The sequence below is a fragment of the Homo sapiens genome, chromosome 22 (genome assembly GCF_000001405.40).
Source record: "Homo sapiens chromosome 22, GRCh38.p14 Primary Assembly".
Lineage (NCBI taxonomy): Eukaryota > Metazoa > Chordata > Mammalia > Primates > Hominidae > Homo > Homo sapiens.
Window position 1 is genome coordinate 23,128,939 of NC_000022.11, and position 16,384 is coordinate 23,145,322.

General features: G+C 48.0%; 1 protein-coding gene, 1 non-coding gene and 1 pseudogene across 8 annotated transcripts in view, besides 4 other annotated features; all 3 read right to left on the minus strand.

Moving 5' to 3' along the window:
• The window catches only part of RSPH14 (radial spoke head 14 homolog), a 121,315-nt gene that overhangs the window by 69,524 nt on the left and 35,407 nt on the right, over positions 1–16,384 (minus strand). For 3 of the 7 annotated variants that reach the window (NM_014433.3, XM_011530150.2, XM_011530149.3), the window contains exons 1-4: positions 13,011–13,052; positions 11,284–11,534; positions 9,902–10,004; positions 5,088–5,206 (exon numbers count right to left, since the gene is read on the minus strand). In NM_014433.3, the coding sequence (NP_055248.1) occupies positions 5,088–5,206; positions 9,902–10,004; positions 11,284–11,482 (421 nt within the window). In that variant the 5' untranslated portion in view covers positions 11,483–11,534; positions 13,011–13,052. Of the gene's footprint in view, positions 1–5,087; positions 5,207–9,901; positions 10,005–11,160; positions 11,263–11,283; positions 11,535–11,869; positions 12,180–12,749; positions 12,990–13,010; positions 13,053–16,384 lie in introns of those variants that run through there. The other 4 variants (XM_011530152.3, XM_011530151.3, XM_017028774.2 and 1 more) reach the window with 4 other exon arrangements.
• Positions 3,666–4,210, minus strand: RN7SL6P (RNA, 7SL, cytoplasmic 6, pseudogene; annotated as a pseudogene).
• LOC124905170 (U7 small nuclear RNA) lies at positions 8,867–8,926 on the minus strand. The gene has a single exon (XR_007068169.1). It is a non-coding gene; the product is annotated as a U7 small nuclear RNA (small nuclear RNA).
• Positions 9,212–9,351: an enhancer, noted in NCBI's record as "active region_18746". NCBI's record gives its function as "activates an Ori minimal core promoter by ATAC-STARR-seq in GM12878 lymphoblastoid cells {active_cell/tissue: GM12878}" and the evidence as "EXISTENCE:reporter gene assay evidence [ECO:0000049][PMID:35858748]".
• Positions 9,902–9,991: an enhancer, noted in NCBI's record as "active region_18747". NCBI's record gives its function as "activates an Ori minimal core promoter by ATAC-STARR-seq in GM12878 lymphoblastoid cells {active_cell/tissue: GM12878}" and the evidence as "EXISTENCE:reporter gene assay evidence [ECO:0000049][PMID:35858748]".
• Positions 12,346–13,238: an enhancer, noted in NCBI's record as "H3K4me1 hESC enhancer chr22:23483471-23484363 (GRCh37/hg19 assembly coordinates)". NCBI's record gives its function as "activates a minimal SCP1, AML or CMV promoter by ChIP-STARR-seq in primed H9 embryonic stem cells {active_cell/tissue: H9 hESC(primed)}" and the evidence as "EXISTENCE:reporter gene assay evidence [ECO:0000049][PMID:30033119]".
• Positions 16,292–16,361: a silencer, noted in NCBI's record as "silent region_13532". NCBI's record gives its function as "represses an Ori minimal core promoter by ATAC-STARR-seq in GM12878 lymphoblastoid cells {active_cell/tissue: GM12878}" and the evidence as "EXISTENCE:reporter gene assay evidence [ECO:0000049][PMID:35858748]".

The window sequence follows — 16,384 nt, forward strand, 5'->3', positions numbered from 1 at the left end:
TAGGAAACCATACCAATGGCCACCAGCATTCACTGGGAGCCAGCTAAGCCCTGCTCAGAGACTGTCCCAGCTAAGCCACACAGGTGACACCCACGTTCCCACAGGTGATGGTACTGCCCAAGGTCACACGCTGGTAAGAACAGAGCCACTGAAATAGATGCCCTCGCCACCCCCCAGGCCCCCCACCCAGAGGCCCATGAAGGACACCACCTGGGGCACAGTCACACTCGCTAATCCAGAGGCCACGACACTCAGTGTACCCCCAGAACAGATCTCCTGGGCGTCTGCCACATTGCCTCCTTCCCTTCCTCCCTCTGCTCATTGTCCAACTGTCCCCTGCATACCCGGTGTCCCAGGCCTCCCTTCTGGGCCCTTCACAGATCATGAGCAGCACTCAGTAAACCCCGCGATGAAGGGCCGAGGCTCCCCACCCTGACCCTCACTGAGGCTTCTGTTCGTGAGCTTGTCAGTACCACAGCCCCCTACTCCTAATGGTGCGCCCAGTGTTGGTGGATGGCAGAAAAAGACAAGGGGAGGAGATGGGGAAAAGCAAACTCGTACATTTTAGAAGAAAATATGGCAGAATATCTTCATGAGTCAGGGTAAAGAAAGATTATCTTACACGGCACTCAAAAAAAAAAAAGGCCAGAGGGAAAAAAAATCATGAAATTGACTTCATTATTCAAATGAAAAACTGCTAAGGCTGGGCATGGTGGCTCACGCCTGTAATCCCAGCACTTTGGGAGGCCGAGGCAGGAGGATCGTGAGGTCAGGAGTTCAAGACCAGCCTGGTCAACATAGTGAAACCCCGTCTCTACTACAAATACAAAAATTAGCTGGGCATGGTGGCACACGCCTGTAGTCCCAGCTACTCGGGAGGCTGAGTCAGGAGAATCACTTGAACCTGGGAGGTGGAGTTTGCAGTGAGCTGAGACCATGCCACTACAGTACAGCCTGGGTGACAGAGTGAGACTGCATCTCAGAAAAGAAGGAAGGAAGGAAGGAAAGAAGGAGAAAGAAAGAGAGAGGAAGAAAGAGAAAGAGACAAAGAGAGAAAGAGAAAGAAAGGAAGGAAAAGAAGGAAAGAAAGAAAGGGAAGGGAGAGAAAGAAAGAGAAAGAAAAAGAAAGAAAGAAAGAAAGAAAGGAAGAAAGAAAGAAAGAAAGAAAGAAAGAAAGAAAGAAAGAAAGAAAGAAAGAAAGAAAGAAAGAAAGAAAGAAAGAAAAAGAAAAAGAAGGCCGGGCATGGTGGCTCACGCCTGTAATCCCAGCACTTTGGGAGGCCGAGGCAGGCGGATCATGAGGTCAGGAGATCGAGACCATCCTGGCTAACACGGTGAAACCCCGTTTCTACTAAAAATACAAAAAATCAGCCGGGCATGGTGGCGGGTGCCTGTAGTCCCAGCTACTCGGGAGGCTGAGGCAGGAGAATGGCATGAACCCGGGAGGTGGAGGTTGCAGTGAGCTGAGACTGCACCAGTGCACTCCAGCCTGGGCGACAGAGTGAGACTCTGTCTCAAAAAAAAAAGAAAAAGAAAAGAGAAAGAAAGAAGGAAAGAAAAAGAAAGAAAGAAAGAAAGAAAGAAAGAAAGAAAGAGAAAGAAGGAAAGAAGGAAAGAAAGACTGCTGCACCAGTGAATCAACAAAGGCACAGTGAGAAGCCAAGAAAACAGCCTGGTTTGAAATGATATTTGCAATGTAGGTAACCGACAAAGGGCTGGAATCCAGGATAAATTACACACTCCTTCAAATCAATAAGAAATGGAAAAACAACTCGGCAACAGAATGAACACACTCTCTCCAGAGGCACTGGGCAGGAGAGGAATCTGATGAGGTGTCAGGCAGAGGGAAGATGTTTCCTCTCACCAGGACAGGGACAGTAAAGCCATATCACAGTGAAACACCATAGCACATCCATCAGGCTGGGATATGCCCCGGGCTCTCTGGAGGCCAGAGGCTGGGCTGGAAGCAGTTGCAATATCCAGCAAAGCTGAAGGCAAACACATTCTCCCTGGCCCAGCGATGCCCTCCCTGGCAGATGCTCTAGGGGACTCTCCTTCCAGGGTACCAGGAAGCCCTGGGCAGGAACAGCCATGGCACAGTCCTTTTGCAGTACAGGAGTACAAACAACCAACAAGCCTGCCAGCCTGGGATGGGTGAGTGTATCATGATACATTCAAACACCGGAACAGTGTGCAGTGATGGAAATGAATGAAATACAGCCAGTGGCGCAACATGGATTCATCTCAAAATTTCTATAAATCTCTAATGTTATTTAGGTTTTTTAAGGTTTTGGAAGTAACAGAGGGATACATACAGCAAGATCCACTTACATAGTTTTAAAACATGCAAAACAAGATTATATATCGTCCATATGTAATTATATCTGTGGTAAAATATAAAGATATGCATTTTGGGGACATAGTCACCAGATTATTAGTAGCTCAAGGAAAGGCAGGAGGAAGAGTGCTCTGGGTGGGGGGAGGTTCACAGGGTGCTTGGACTGTACCTATGATTTCTTCAAATAAAAATTTCAAGCAAGTATAAAATATGGATATAGAATGTAAAGATTTGGCAAAGCTGGCTGGTGGTATCCAATGTTCCTTATCACCATCTCTGTACTTCTCTGAATGCTTTAAATAGGTCACAATCATTGTAAGAGGACTGGTTGAGAGCAGCAAGTCCCCTGTCTCCACACTCCAAGAATGAGGGGACTAGACCCTCGCTTATTCCTCAGGTTCCTGCATGGTGAGCACAGGGCATTAATTTAGCTCAACCCAGCACTGGTCCCCCATGGATCACCCTAATACCCCAGGGGCTCTCAACCCTGGGGCATGCATGACTGTCATTCAAGGTGCATTTTCAGAAATATGTGTGCAGGGCCCCACCCCCAGAGACTGCTCCTGGTGGCCTGGGAGAGGACCAGGGGCACGGTGGTGTTTTTAAAAAACCACAGGCCTAGTGTGCTCAACTCCCAGGCCAGATCAGCTGGAAGAAGATGTGCTTCAGGAGCCAAGCAACAATCCTAGACCCTCACAGGCTCTGCTCTGTTGGGCCTGCCTATCTGCACCTGATCCCGTAGTCATTTCTCTCTGAGCCTTAACCCAGGGAATGCTCACGCCTGGCCTTGAATGTTTGCACTCCATCCTTGGGCAGGACGCTGAGCTATACACCAGGCCAGTGTTTCCACTTCAACCTCATTTCTGGCCTCTGAGGCAGGTACTTTAGACATGGGAAATAACCTGTCCAGGGCACACGGGGAGTGAGGGGAAGGGCAGAGGGAACCCAGGTTCATCTGACTCCTGGGCTACAATATCTGTTTGTCCACCTTGAGCTAAGGTATCCGCTTCAAGGCCTCCTATCATGGCCCTTGAAATAATTCCCTCGTCTAAAAATACTCATTGCATCATGCGACCAGGCAGGTATCAATCTGCCATAAATCTTAACTCTCGAGCCGTGGTATCGGGTAGCTGTTACCCTGGACTCCCCATCTAGTCAGCAGGGCCAGTGGGACAGGAACTGTATGCAACATTGCCTCTGGGACGGGCCTTCTTTATCCCTTAAATGTGTGCTATGGTATTTCACAAAAGAAAACATTTACAGGACATCCCCTTTTAATCATCAGGGAAATATAAATTAAAACCAAAATGAGATACTACTACACACCCACCAAAATAGCTAAAATAAAAAGACAGAAAAAAATCTATGATTAATGAGGATATAAATCACCTGGAACTCTCATATACTGCTAGTGGAAGTATAAATTGGTACAAGTATTTTATTCATTTTTTTTAGAGACAGGATCTTGCTATGTTGCTCAGGCTGGAGTGCAGTGGTTATTCATAGGTACAGTCCCATTACTGATCGGCACAGGAGTTTTGACCTGCTTTGTTTCTGATCTGGGCTGGTTCACCCCTCCTTAGGCAATCTGGTGGTCCCCCCATCTCGGGAGGTCGCCATATTGATGCCAAACAGTGCGGACACCCGACTGGCGTAGGGCACTACAGCCTAGAACTCCTAGGCTCAAGCAATACACCTGCTTTAGCCTCTTGGGTAGCTGGGACATGGCATGTGCAGATGCAAGTATTTTAGAAAACCATTGGGTAGTACCTTCTAAAAGCTGAACATAATCTTACCCAGGCCAGCCATTCTCTTCTTAGGTATGTTTCAAAATAAATGCATATACATGTCCATCAAAAGACATTTATAAGGGTGTTCATAGCCACTCTATTCTTGGTAGCCATAAGCTAGAAACAATTCAGATGTCCGTCAGCAACGGAATGGGTAAGTAAACTGTTGTATACTCACATAGTGTAAATACCATACTCCAGCATAAACAAGCAAAAATCAGTAATACATCCCACACGTAAATCTCAGAAATAAAACGTTAAGCAAAAGTAGCTACAAGCAAGATATTACAAGCTGGATGTTTCCATTTATGTAAAGTTTTAAAAGGGGCATCATCTATGGTCTTATAAATTGAAGATACCATTTATCATTGGTAAGGGTAATACCCAGTATGGGCATGTGGGAAGTTTCTGGAGAGGTGGTAAATACTCTCTACATGTCTTGATTGGGGTGGCAGTTACACCACATGTTCACTGAAAACAACTTGACCAAATGTTCGTTTAGGATATGCGCTTTTCTTTTTTCTTTCTTTTTTTTTGTCTTAAGACAGAGTCTCGCACTGTCGCCCGGGCTAGAGTGCAGTGGTGCAATCTTGGCTCACTGCAACCTCCGCCTCCCAGGTTCAAGCGATTCTTCTGCCTCAGCCTCCCAAGTAGCTGGGATTACAGGTGCCCACCACCATGCCCAGCTAATTTTTGTATTTTTAGTAGAGACAGGGTTTCACCATATTGGCCAGGCTGGTGTCGAACTCCTGACTTCGTGATCTGCCTGCCTCGGCCTCCCAAAGTGCTGGGATTACAGGTGTGAGCCACCACACCCAGCGGATATGTGCTTTTCTAATATGTATGTTGTAATTTAATAAAAAGTGGACGATCTACACCCTGGTACATATGTGACCTGGAGAGGAGACCGACGGACAACTTGAGTGCCCGACAGATCTGTGTGCAGGACGCAAGCCTACCTCTAGGCACCTGGACCAGCTGCATGTATGCCTTGTACAGGTTCCCCCGGCAGACTGGGCTGGGGTCATTCAGCAGGAAGGACAGGGCAAGGACGATGTCGTGCTCTAGAAAGGCGTATCTAGGGAAGGGAGGGTGGACAGTGACATAAGTGAGACCATGCCCTGAGAGGCTCAAATTAGAAGAGTCAGGGTCCCTGCTGGAGTCTGATCCATGCTATCTGGGGTAGACCACATTCCTCTGGCTTTGTGGGAGCAGACAAAGGCTACAGGTGCGTGATCCATCTCACCTGAACCTCCAGGGGAGCGAGCTCAGCAGGCCCAGCCCACCTTGGCCCCTTGTTCTTCTGGTCTCCCTTGCCTCCACATCTATGTACACCAGTTATGCTTGTTGTTATCATTATATAAGTTCAGTAAATATTAGGCAAGCCAATTAGATGAGAAGAGGATTTTCTTTTTCAAATTTGTTTATGAGAAAAAGTTGAATGCTTTGGAAGGACTCAAAATTGAGCCCCAACTCCCAACCAAAAAAAAAAAAAAAAAAAAAAAAGGAGATGATTGGCTGGGCGCAGTGGCTCACACTTGTAATCCCAGCACCTTAGGAGACCTAGGCGGATAGATGACTTGAGGTCAGGAGTTCGAGACCAGCCTGGCCAACATGGCAAAACCCCGTCTCTACTAAAAATACAAAAAATCAACCAAGCTTGGTGGCACATGCCTGTAATCCCAGCTACTCAGAAGGCTGAGGCACAAGATCACTTGAGCCCAGGAAGCAGAGGTTGCAGTGACCTGCAACTGCACCACTGCCCTCCAGCCTGGGTGACAGAATGAGACTGTCTCAAAAAAGACAAAAAAAAGAGATGATTGTAAAAGATTCTAGATAGCTCACACCTAATCCCAGTGCTTTGGGAGACTAAGGTGGTAGAATCACTTGGGCCAGGAGTTCAAGACCAGCCTGGGCAACATGGTGAGACCCAGTCCCTACTAAAATGTTAAAAGTTAGCCAGGCATGGTGGTGTGTGCCTGTGTTCCCACCTACTCAGTAGGCTAAGGTGGGAGGATCGTTTGAGCCTAGGAGTTTAAGGCTACAGTGAGCTAGGATCATGCCACTAAACTCCAGCATGGATGACAGAGCTAGACCTTGTCTCTTAAAAAATAAAAAGATTCTAGGCCAGGCGCGGTGGCTCACGCCTGTAATCCCAGCACTTTGGAAGGCCAAGGTGGGCGGATCACTAGGTCAGGAGATCGAGACCATCCTGGCTAACACAGTGAAACCCCGCCTGTACTAAAAATACAAAAAAAAAAAAAAAAAAAAAAAAATTAGCTGGGTGTGGTGGCGGGCGCCTGTAGTCCCAGCTACTTTGGAGGCTGAGGCAGGAGAATGGTGTGAACCCGGGAGGTGGAGCTTGCAGTGAGCCAAGAACGCACAACTGCGCTCCAGCCTGGGTGACAGAGCGAGACTCTGTCTCAAATAAGTAAATAAATAAATAAATATAAATTAATAAATAAAAAGATTCTAGAAGGGTTTTGCATACAGGTTATTTCATTAATGTCTTTGAGTTCTTGCTCTACTTTAAAAAAACCAAAGCTGCAAATCAGACGATGTTATGAGTATGGTTTAAGCAAAAAAAATATGATAGGAAACACCAACCAGTGGTCTCATATCCGACAAAAAGCCTGGGTCCCACATGGGGATTGATGAATGCCTTATCATTTGTGTTTTGGGTTAAAATGAACCATTTAAAGGAAACCATTTCTTCAGTTCCTTGCTTTGTAATCATTTCTTTTGATTAACCAACTGACTGCTGGGCCTGAATGCATCTGAAAGAGGCCTTCTGAGGTCACGTCTCTGAGGGCTGGGTTCAGGAATGAATGAGAATGCATGTGCAAACCCCTCAGCCAAGTGCCCACAGGAAGTGCCCAACCAGCTGTGCCACTGCGGCATTTATTATAAATAAAAATAAATTTTATTTATTTTATTTATTTATTTATTTTCACTTATGGTGTGTTTTGAATCGTCTGGAAAAAGAAAGTCACCGTTGGACACACAAGTTGCAGGGGTCTTCCCTGACCACGGGGGCTTCCTTGGTCCGTGTCTAGTCACCCACTCCATGTCTCTCATGCTTTGATAGTCAGTTGTGTTTGCCTGTGTGCCTCCTCACCAGAGGCAAGCAAGAGGGCAGGGAACAGGCTGCCAGGAAGCTCTCTTGTCCGTGGGATGTCATGCAAATTAACTCCTCAAGGTGACAAGATGCCAAGCCCAGGGCTGCTATCCTCATTCCCCCTTCCTGTCACTACTTCTGTGGGTAGAAGAGGCAGAAGAGTTTCAACCTGGGCAGTTCAGGGCAGCTACTTAGAGCTTGATGGGCTCTGAAAGCTATTGACATTGGTTATAAGATCACCACTGACCTCAAGGGAAATTTAGAAGTTGGCCACATTTCTGAGAACGCTGAAGGAGTGCACGGGCCAGGCCATTATCAGGTCCCTGGTCAGGGATGGTCACTTCACCATGTCTTCCTGCCTTGCTAATGTGGGCACAGCCAGGACCCCTGGCTTAGGCACTCTAGGTGCTGCTAAACAAATCCTTACTACCATTCATTATAAGTAGGTTGATGCAAAAGTAATTGCGGTTTTTACCACTACTTTTAATTGCAAAACTGCAATTACTTTTGCACTAACCTGATAATTGCTCAGGCTTCAGGGACCTGTCCTCTCAGCATCTGTCCCCCCTAACTGGGGATTACTACCTAATGTCCACATCAGGTCCAGAAAAGTAGGGAGGAAAAACCAGCAAGAAAGGTGACTTGACTCCTGTGTGCCCCTAACCTTTTAAAGCACCTTGCCTGGGTCATCTAAGATCTGCAGAGTGAGGCTGGGATTAGGATTGTTGCCCAGATCACAGAGCAGGAAAGAGTGGGCCCCCCAAAAGGCTGGGGCTTGTGTCCCTACTTCACTGGTCTGTCTGCAGTGCCAGCCTGCCCTTCTTGGTACAAAGCATGTGAATTAGGGTGCTAGCCATGGCACCACCTCCACACACACATGCACGGTTCACACAGGGCCGGGGCTGCACACAGGATCAGCCACCAAGGCAGCGAGAGCTTGGGGACTAGCAGGGCTGAGTGACTTTGGGTTTTATGAGATGCCCTGCAGCCTCTGCCTCTCTGGGTTCAAGCAATTCTTGTGCCTCAGCCTCCTGAGTAGCTGGGACTACAGGCATGTGTCATCATGCTCAGCTAATTTTTGTATTTTTAGTAGAGACTGGTTTCACCATGTTGGCCTGTGTGCCTCCTCACCAGAGGCAAGCAAGAGGGCAGGGAACAGGCTGCCAGGAAGCTCTCTTGTCCGTGGGGTGTCATGCAAATTAACTCCTCAAGGTGACAAGATGCCAAGCCCAGGGCTGCTATCCTCATTCCCCCTTCCTGTCACTACTTCTGTGGGTAGAAGAGGCAGAAGAGTTTCAACCTGGGCAGTTCAGGGCAGCTACTTAGAGCTTGATGGGCTCTAAGTAAAGGTTAGGGGCACACAGGAGTCAAGTCACCTTTCCTGCTGTTTTTTTTCCCTTCAAATCCTGAACCGATTTGAAGCCTCTCTGAATGGCTGCCTGTTTACACCAAACAACCCCCAAGGCAGTCAGCACCTTGCCTTTCTTGTCTTTTCTTCCTTCTGGGCCTGTGCACACTGGGCAGTGGCCCCCTTTATCCGAAAGACCTGGGCCAGGGCTTGGGGGTGTTTGTGATGTGGGGTTCTGTTTTTTTGGGGGGTGGGGACGGGGGCTGGTGGGGAGAGGTTCCAGTGAAAACTGGAAAACCTGCTAGAAAAATTCTAAAAGAGCTGTAACACTGGGGTTTTGTTTCTAATACAAAGTAAAACTACTGATCGCCAGTCAAGAGGGTGAACCCAGCTGATGTGGGAAAGCACCTCCAACCACCCTCACCCTGTTGCCCCAACACCTAACTAAAATACTCTATAAAATTTTTTTTAAGTGTAAAAAGTGAAGCTGTGCTTACACAGGAAAAGGACACTTCCAGGTGCCAGAAACCAAGAACTCAGCCATCATGAACAGGAAGTGAGGCCACCAGACCAGATACTCACTTTGAGGATGTTATTTTAACACCCTCACAGGGACAGGAGCCAAAGCCACAGCCCCTGTGGGGATCTGGGTTGGGGAACTGGGCTCTCTGTAAAAAGCTAAGAAGTGGCAAAATTGTTGCAGAAGTAAGATCTGAACTTTCTTCCCACCTTGAAAGTGGGAAGCTCAGCTAGGTGCAGTGGCTCATGCCTGTAATCCCAGCATTTTAGGAGGCCGAGGCAGGCAGATCACTTGAGGCCAGGAATTTGAAACCAGGCTGGCCAACGTGGTGAAACCAGTCTCTACTAAAAATACAAAAATTAGCTGAGCGTGATGACACATGCCTGTAGTCCCAGCTACTCAGGAGGCTGAGGCACAAGAATTGCTTGAACCCAAAGAGGCAGGGGCTGCAGTGAGCTGAGATCGTGTCACCGTACTCCAGCCTGGGTGACAGAGTGAGAGACTGTCTCAAAAAAGAAAGAAAAGAAAGAGAGAGAGAGAGAGCGCTCAGAGCTTGGAACTAACATAAAATAAATAAAAATCAGTCTGGAACAGAGGGCCCCATAAGATCCACACAGAGGCAACCAAAACCACCCCACAAAGAGTCCTGCTCTGGCTAAATAGAAGCCCCTGCAAAAACTGATGCGGCAGACAACACTCCAGAGCACTCTAAGCAGCTCAAGTGCATCCACCCAGGGGAGAAGTGCGGCTCGCAAGCGTCACACTGGTTTCCAGAACAGCATCCCACCTGCCCACGCTATGGCTTGCCGTGATGTGGAGCACCTCGGTGGTCTTTATGCGCACCATACTGTTGCTATCCTTCAGCAAAGCTTTCAGGTTCTCCATACAGCCTAGAAAAAAAAAAAAAAACAAACAAACCAACCCTTGAATTTTTGCCAGTCTCAGAAACCAACCAACCCAGAAGTCAATAAGTGGGCCAGTTGGGGCAGGAATGTACCAGAGTTTCTGCTGCTTTGGGGCACTGGGGAATCATGTTGGTTATGCAGCATTTCAGAGTCACTGAAGAGGCTCATGTCTCATCCAACCCTCCTTGTGATTCTCCCTGCACACTTCCTACCAGTGACTTCTCACAAAGTCTGTCATGAGGTTAAGAAAATGGCCTTTGCCATTTCTTTGACCTCAGGAGAGATATGGGGTCAAATTATAACCCTGTGTCAAACTAGTCATATGACTTTGAGTGGGTTACACCTACGGATGCCAGATTTAGCAAATAAAAATCCAGCTTTGGCCAGGTATGGTGGCTTACGCCTGTAATCCCAGCACTTTGGGAGGCCAAGGCAAGCGGATCACCTGAGATCAGGAGTTCAAGACCAGCCTGGCCAACATGGTGAAACCCCATCTCTACAAAAATACAAAATATTAGCCAGGCATGATGGCAGGTGCCTGTAGTCCCAGCTACTCAGGAGGCTGAGGCAGGAGAATCACTTGAACCCAAGAGGCGGAGGTTTCAGTGAGCCAAGATCGTGCCATTGCACTTCAGCCTGGGCAAGAGAGCGAGATGCCATCTCAAAAAATAAATAAATAAATAAATAAATACAAATCTAGCTTTATTTATTTATTGGGCAACCCTAGACTTACAATCCTTCTCTGAACCATGCTTTTCTTATCTGTGGGTTGAGAATGGACTCTCCCCTGTAGGTGGCCTTTCTAAGGATTAAGATAATCCAGGCTGGGTGTGATGGCTCACACATATAATCCCAAAACTTTGGAGGCTGACCTGGGAGAATCAATTGAGGCCAAGAGTTCAAGAACAGCCTGGGCAACACAGCAAGATCTTGTTTATAAAAAAATAATAATAAGAAATTAGTCAGCCATGGTGGTACTTGTAGTCCTAGTTACTCAGGAAGCTGAAGCAGGAGGATCTCTTGACCCCAAGATTTCAAGGTTACAGTGAGCTATGATTCTGCCACTGCACTCTAGTCTGGGAGATGGCAAGACCCTCCCTCAATAAATAAACATTTTTTAAAAAGAACCCGGGCACCGCACCTATAGTGGAACTGGCCTGGAGTCAGGCTCAAACAATAGCAACCCTTATTACTGAAGTTCTACCCAGTGCCTGAAGCCATGCTAGGACCCCAGTCATGGTCACCTGTGCTGTGTCACGCTCACCTATGTTCATGGCCTTGTAGATACACTCGGGGTCATGCATGAGGTCACACAAGGCCATGAGGGCTTTCTGCCTCGTCTGGAGGTCCTCTGACTGCAGCTCCTCCTTCAGCTTGGGCAGGGCCCGATGGCCATAGGCAGTGGTAATCTGGGTGGCATTGATGTTAATGGGAAGCTCCAAGGAGTTCTGGGAATGGGCCATCTTTCCCCAACTACAGAGGCCTTTCCAAATGAAGCTCTGCAGAAACCACTCACTAAAAGAGACCAAAAAGCTGTCATTATTTCTATTATGATTTAAAAGCTACTTCTCATCTGATCCTCCAAACTGTGAGGGCAGGCAAATGGGTATTTTTACTTTCATTTTACAGATGAGCAAACTGAGGCTGAGAGCAATGAAGAGATTTGCTCAAAGTCCCAGTGAAGGTAAGTAAGTAGCAGCCCAAACTGCAAACTCCAGAGCCCTCCCACACAATAGTGCTTCACAGAAGAAACCACTGATACTTTCATCTGGATCTTCAGTCAAAGGCATTAAAGGACAAAACAAACCAAACAAGCAAACTCCAAGTTGGTCACTCTGTTTAGTGCTTACCTTGTGCCAGCAATAAGTAGTATCCAATTCAACTACCCCATAAGGAGGGGGCTGGTATTATCCACATTTTACAAATGAGGAAACTGAGGTTCTGGCCAAGGAGCTTACTGGAGGCCATGAAACTGGTAAGACTAGAAGCCAGTGTTCAAATCTGGGTCTAGCTCATTCACTGCCAGGAACCCATATTCAGATGCTTCTGACACATCCATGAAAAGGAATTAATGTTAAAAGGTGATTTATGGCCACGCGCAGTGGCTCACGCCTGTAATCCCAGCACTTTGGGAGGCCCGAGGCAGGCGGATCACAAGGTCAAGAGATCGAGACCATCCTGGCCAACATGGTGAAACCCCGTCTCTACTAAAAATACAAAAATTAGCTGGGCGTGATGGCGCATGCCTGTAGTCCCAGCTACTCGGGAGGCTGAGGCAGGAGAATCGCTTGAATCAGGGAGGCGGAGGTTCCAGTAAGCCAAGATCGCGCCACTGCACTCCAGCCTGGCGACAAAGCAAGACTCCGTCTCAAAAAAAAAAAAAAAAAAAAAAGTGATTAACTTTTATTGCCGACACACACACACACTTTCAGCAACTATGGGCAGTGTAGGTTAGTAGTTAAGAACTGGCTCCAGATTCAGGCCTGGGTGACCTTGGCAAGTTACTTCCTCTATCTGTGTCTTTCTGCAGCTTCAAAGGGGAGATGATAACAGTACCTCCTTCCCTGCCTCCCAGAGTTGTCATATTAACGAATACACGTAAGCCTGGCATACCAGGGCTTCAGCTATGTTGGCTGTGGTTATTATTACGGTTATTATCATGGTTAGTAGAATGGACAGGCCACAGGCCTGTAGGAATCTACTCCAGTAAAAGGTAAGCCAGATGCTCACGCGGGACACCAGATGACAACGGTAGAAGTGGGGGCCGGACTGGGAGGGACGTGGCCATGTTTGAGTTGAGCTCCCCTCACAGGAACGGTGGGTGCTGGAGACAGGGGCCTGCCTTCTTCTAAGCGGCGTGGGCTGGGAGAGTCCGGCCGGAGACAAAAGACCGTGATTTTGAGTGTGGGGACACGGCCCCGTGTGAATGGGACTGGGTGGGTCACTGGGCCCCCCTGTCCCCGGGCCCCTAGCCCACCACCGCCGCCTCACCTGCCTCCGCAGCCCTTTCTGCTTCCAGTAGCCCGCGCCACTGGCCAACCTATTCAGTTGCCAGGCGACATCGTTGCCAGGCGACTCCAGCAGCGTCCGCGGCGCCGCGGTCGACATAATCAGCACCCACTGCGCAGGCGCAAACAGCCCAAGGCTGCGGCCGGCTGCAAAGCGGGAACAATCATTTACAGGGTTGCTGTGGAGACCAAAGGCAGCTCAGCTTTGTTCAAAGTACAGAAGGGAAAGGAAGTGACTTATTTACGCCCTTCTCTGTACTGGGTACTTTGCATGCCTCTGATCCTCAGAGTAAATTCATAAGGTGGTAACATCTAGTTTAGAGACAAGAACCTCAGAGAAGTTCAGTCGTTTCTCCCAATTTTTTTTTTTGACGGAGTTTCGCTCTTTCACGCAGGCTGGAGTGCAGTGGCGCGATCTTGACTCACTGCAACCTCCGCTCCACTCCGCGCCACCGCACCCAACCCGGGTGCAAGTGATTCTCCTGCCTAAGCCTCCCAAGTAGCTGGGATTATAGGCGGCCGCCATCACACCCAGCTAATTTTTGTATTTTTAGTAGAGACAGGGTTTCGCCATGTTGGCCAGGCTGGTCTCGAACTCCTGACCTCAGATGATCCACCCGCCTCGGCCTCCCAAAATGCTAGGATTACAGGCGTGAGCCACTGCGCTCAGCCAGTTTCCCCCAAATTACATAGGCCTGATCTCAAGACTGCCTAGCCCTGCCCATGCCCCTTGCTCTTCAGGCTGACCGCCTGGTAATGACAAAGGTTAGCCTCTGCAGTGGACCCAACACACTGCTGGCCAGCGTAGCTGTTCTCAAAAGCAAGCCAGACCCAGCCACCACCTGCATAAAACCCTCCATGGCTCCCCACTAGTCTCAGGGCTGAGTCCAAACTCCTAGCCTAGTGCTCCAGTCCCTGGGTGATGGCCTCCTCCAGCCATGCCAGACTCTCTCTTAACCCCTCAAATGCCACCTCGCTCATGAAGCCTGAGCGCTCTGTAACACTAATTATTACCTCTTTATCCTTCAGGATGCAACTTGGTGAACACTTCTTCCATGAAACCTTCCTTCTCCCTGAAGGAGTGAAGTATGGGCCATCCCAAAATATGCTGGATTGGTATATTGACCATTTTGAGTGGACAACATTGGAAAAATAGTGGCCTCAGAAAGGGCTAACTGGGCCAGGTGCAGTGGCTCATACCTGTAATCCTAGCACTTTGGGAGGCTGAAGGGGGAGGGTTGCTTGAGCCCAAGAGTTTGAGGTTACAGTGAGATATGATCACACTACTACACCCCAGCCTGGGTGACAGAGTGAGACCTCAACTCTAAAATAAATAAATAAATAAATAAATAAATAAATAAATAAATAGATATAATTTTAAAAAAAGATACAAGAAAAGGCAAACAGATATGCTTCTTTCTGCATTCAGCAAGCCATAAAGATTCCTCTAGGAGCGGTACCCTCACTGTACCAGGGCAAGAAAATAGCCCTTGTCACCTGAGACTAAGAATTGGGGACTGCAATGGACCTGAATAAATATACTTAACCCTGTCTTCCACTAAGTTTATGCCCCTCATATTATCTCCTAGTGAATCCCCTAGAATTTACTGCCCTAGCCAGATCCCCTTTGTCCTGCCATTTCTTCTCAAATTTGTCATCCTTTGTCTAAAAAGTATAAAAGCATCTTGCTTTGGCCACTTCTCTAGACTTCACTCTGGTAAAGATCCCCATGCGCATGTAAAACTAATAACACTTGTATGCTTTTCTCTTGCTAATCTGCCCAGTGTCAGTTTGGTTTCTAGATCTAGGCAAAGAGCCCACTTAAGAGCTAAAGGAGGATTGGGGCCAGGTGTGCTGGCTTACGCCTGTAATCCCAACACTTTGGGAAGCCAAGGCCGGCGGATCACATGAGGCCAGGAGTTCAAAACCAGCCTGGCACACATGGCAAAACCCCATCTCTACTAAAAAAATTTAAAAATTAGCCAAGCATGGTTGGTGCGCACCTGTGGTCCCAGCTACTCGGGAGGCTGAGGCAGGAGAATCGCTTGAGCCGGGAGGCGGAGATTGCAGTGAGCCGAGATCACACTACTGCACTCCAGCCTGGGCGACAGAGTGAGACTCCATCTCAAAAAAAAAAAAAAAAAAAAAAAAAAAACAGCTAAAGGAGGAGTTCAGGGTGATCTCTAGCTCCTGCCAAATCCCCAAATCCAAATTAGTAAGTGACCCCACAGCTTAATCTTCCCTTCTCCTAAATCCCATTGGCACACTCCCTTCCCCTAATTCTCTATTTACTTCTCTGCTTCCCGCAGTGGACTCCAATTTCCCTGAGGGTGGACACCATGTCCGTTCTCTTTCCTTGTCTCCCCAGTGCTAGGCATATACCAGGAAGCTTTCAGTACATGTAGGACAAATGAATAGTTAATGGACTTGAATCAAGCTTTACAGTATAAAAGCACTTTCACCATCTCAGGTGATCCATTGAAATAGATAGTTGCGTTTATTTTATAGTTGAGTAAACTGAGGTGCGGAAGGTGGAACAACTCACCTAAGTTCACCCCCTAAGCCTCAACCTTAGCAGTGAAACTCACTAAAAGACATTAAACAGAGCCAGGTGTGGTGGCCCTTGCCTGTAGTCCCAAGGACTGGGGAGGCTGAGGCGGGAGGATTCCTTGAGCCTAGGAGTTCGAGTCCAGCCTGGACAACATAGCAAGACTCCATCTCTTTAAAAAAAAAAAAAAAAGACATCAAACACCAGCCTCCAGCACACTTAGCTTTGAATTGAAGATGACTGAGTTAGATCTGTGTACCAAGGCTTCCATATTGTGATGCAGAAAAGTTAAGGAGCTGAATTAAGTAGGTTCTCAAACTGAACCCCGGACTTCGAAGCTGGTTCCACGGTTTTATAAGGGCCACAAGAGGCCATCTAGCCCAAAACAGCTAACTTTCCAAACCGAAACTAGTTCAGAGGAAATCACTGACTCAGGTCAGCTTTTTATTAAGGAAATTAATTTTGTACCGTGAGCTCTAGAAGCCAGGCATATGATATTCAGACAGCACTGGATTCAGAACTATGCAGACTAAGGTCAGTAGATGGTAGGCAGGTCTATCTTCTGCAGCTGCAGGGTGCTTGACTCCAATTAAACATCAATACCACATCAGGAGCTCTTATGCCATAACCGCCCAACCTCTCCCAGCCGAGCTGATCACCAGAACCTGCGCGAATCTCTCCACGGTCAGCCCCACCCAGGGCTCAGGCTCCGCCCCCGGGCCTCCATAGCCCCGCCCACCGCCCACCCATCCAGCACCGCCCTTGTTGTCATGGTGATCTCCGGCTCTCCAGGGTGTCCAGGAGTCTCT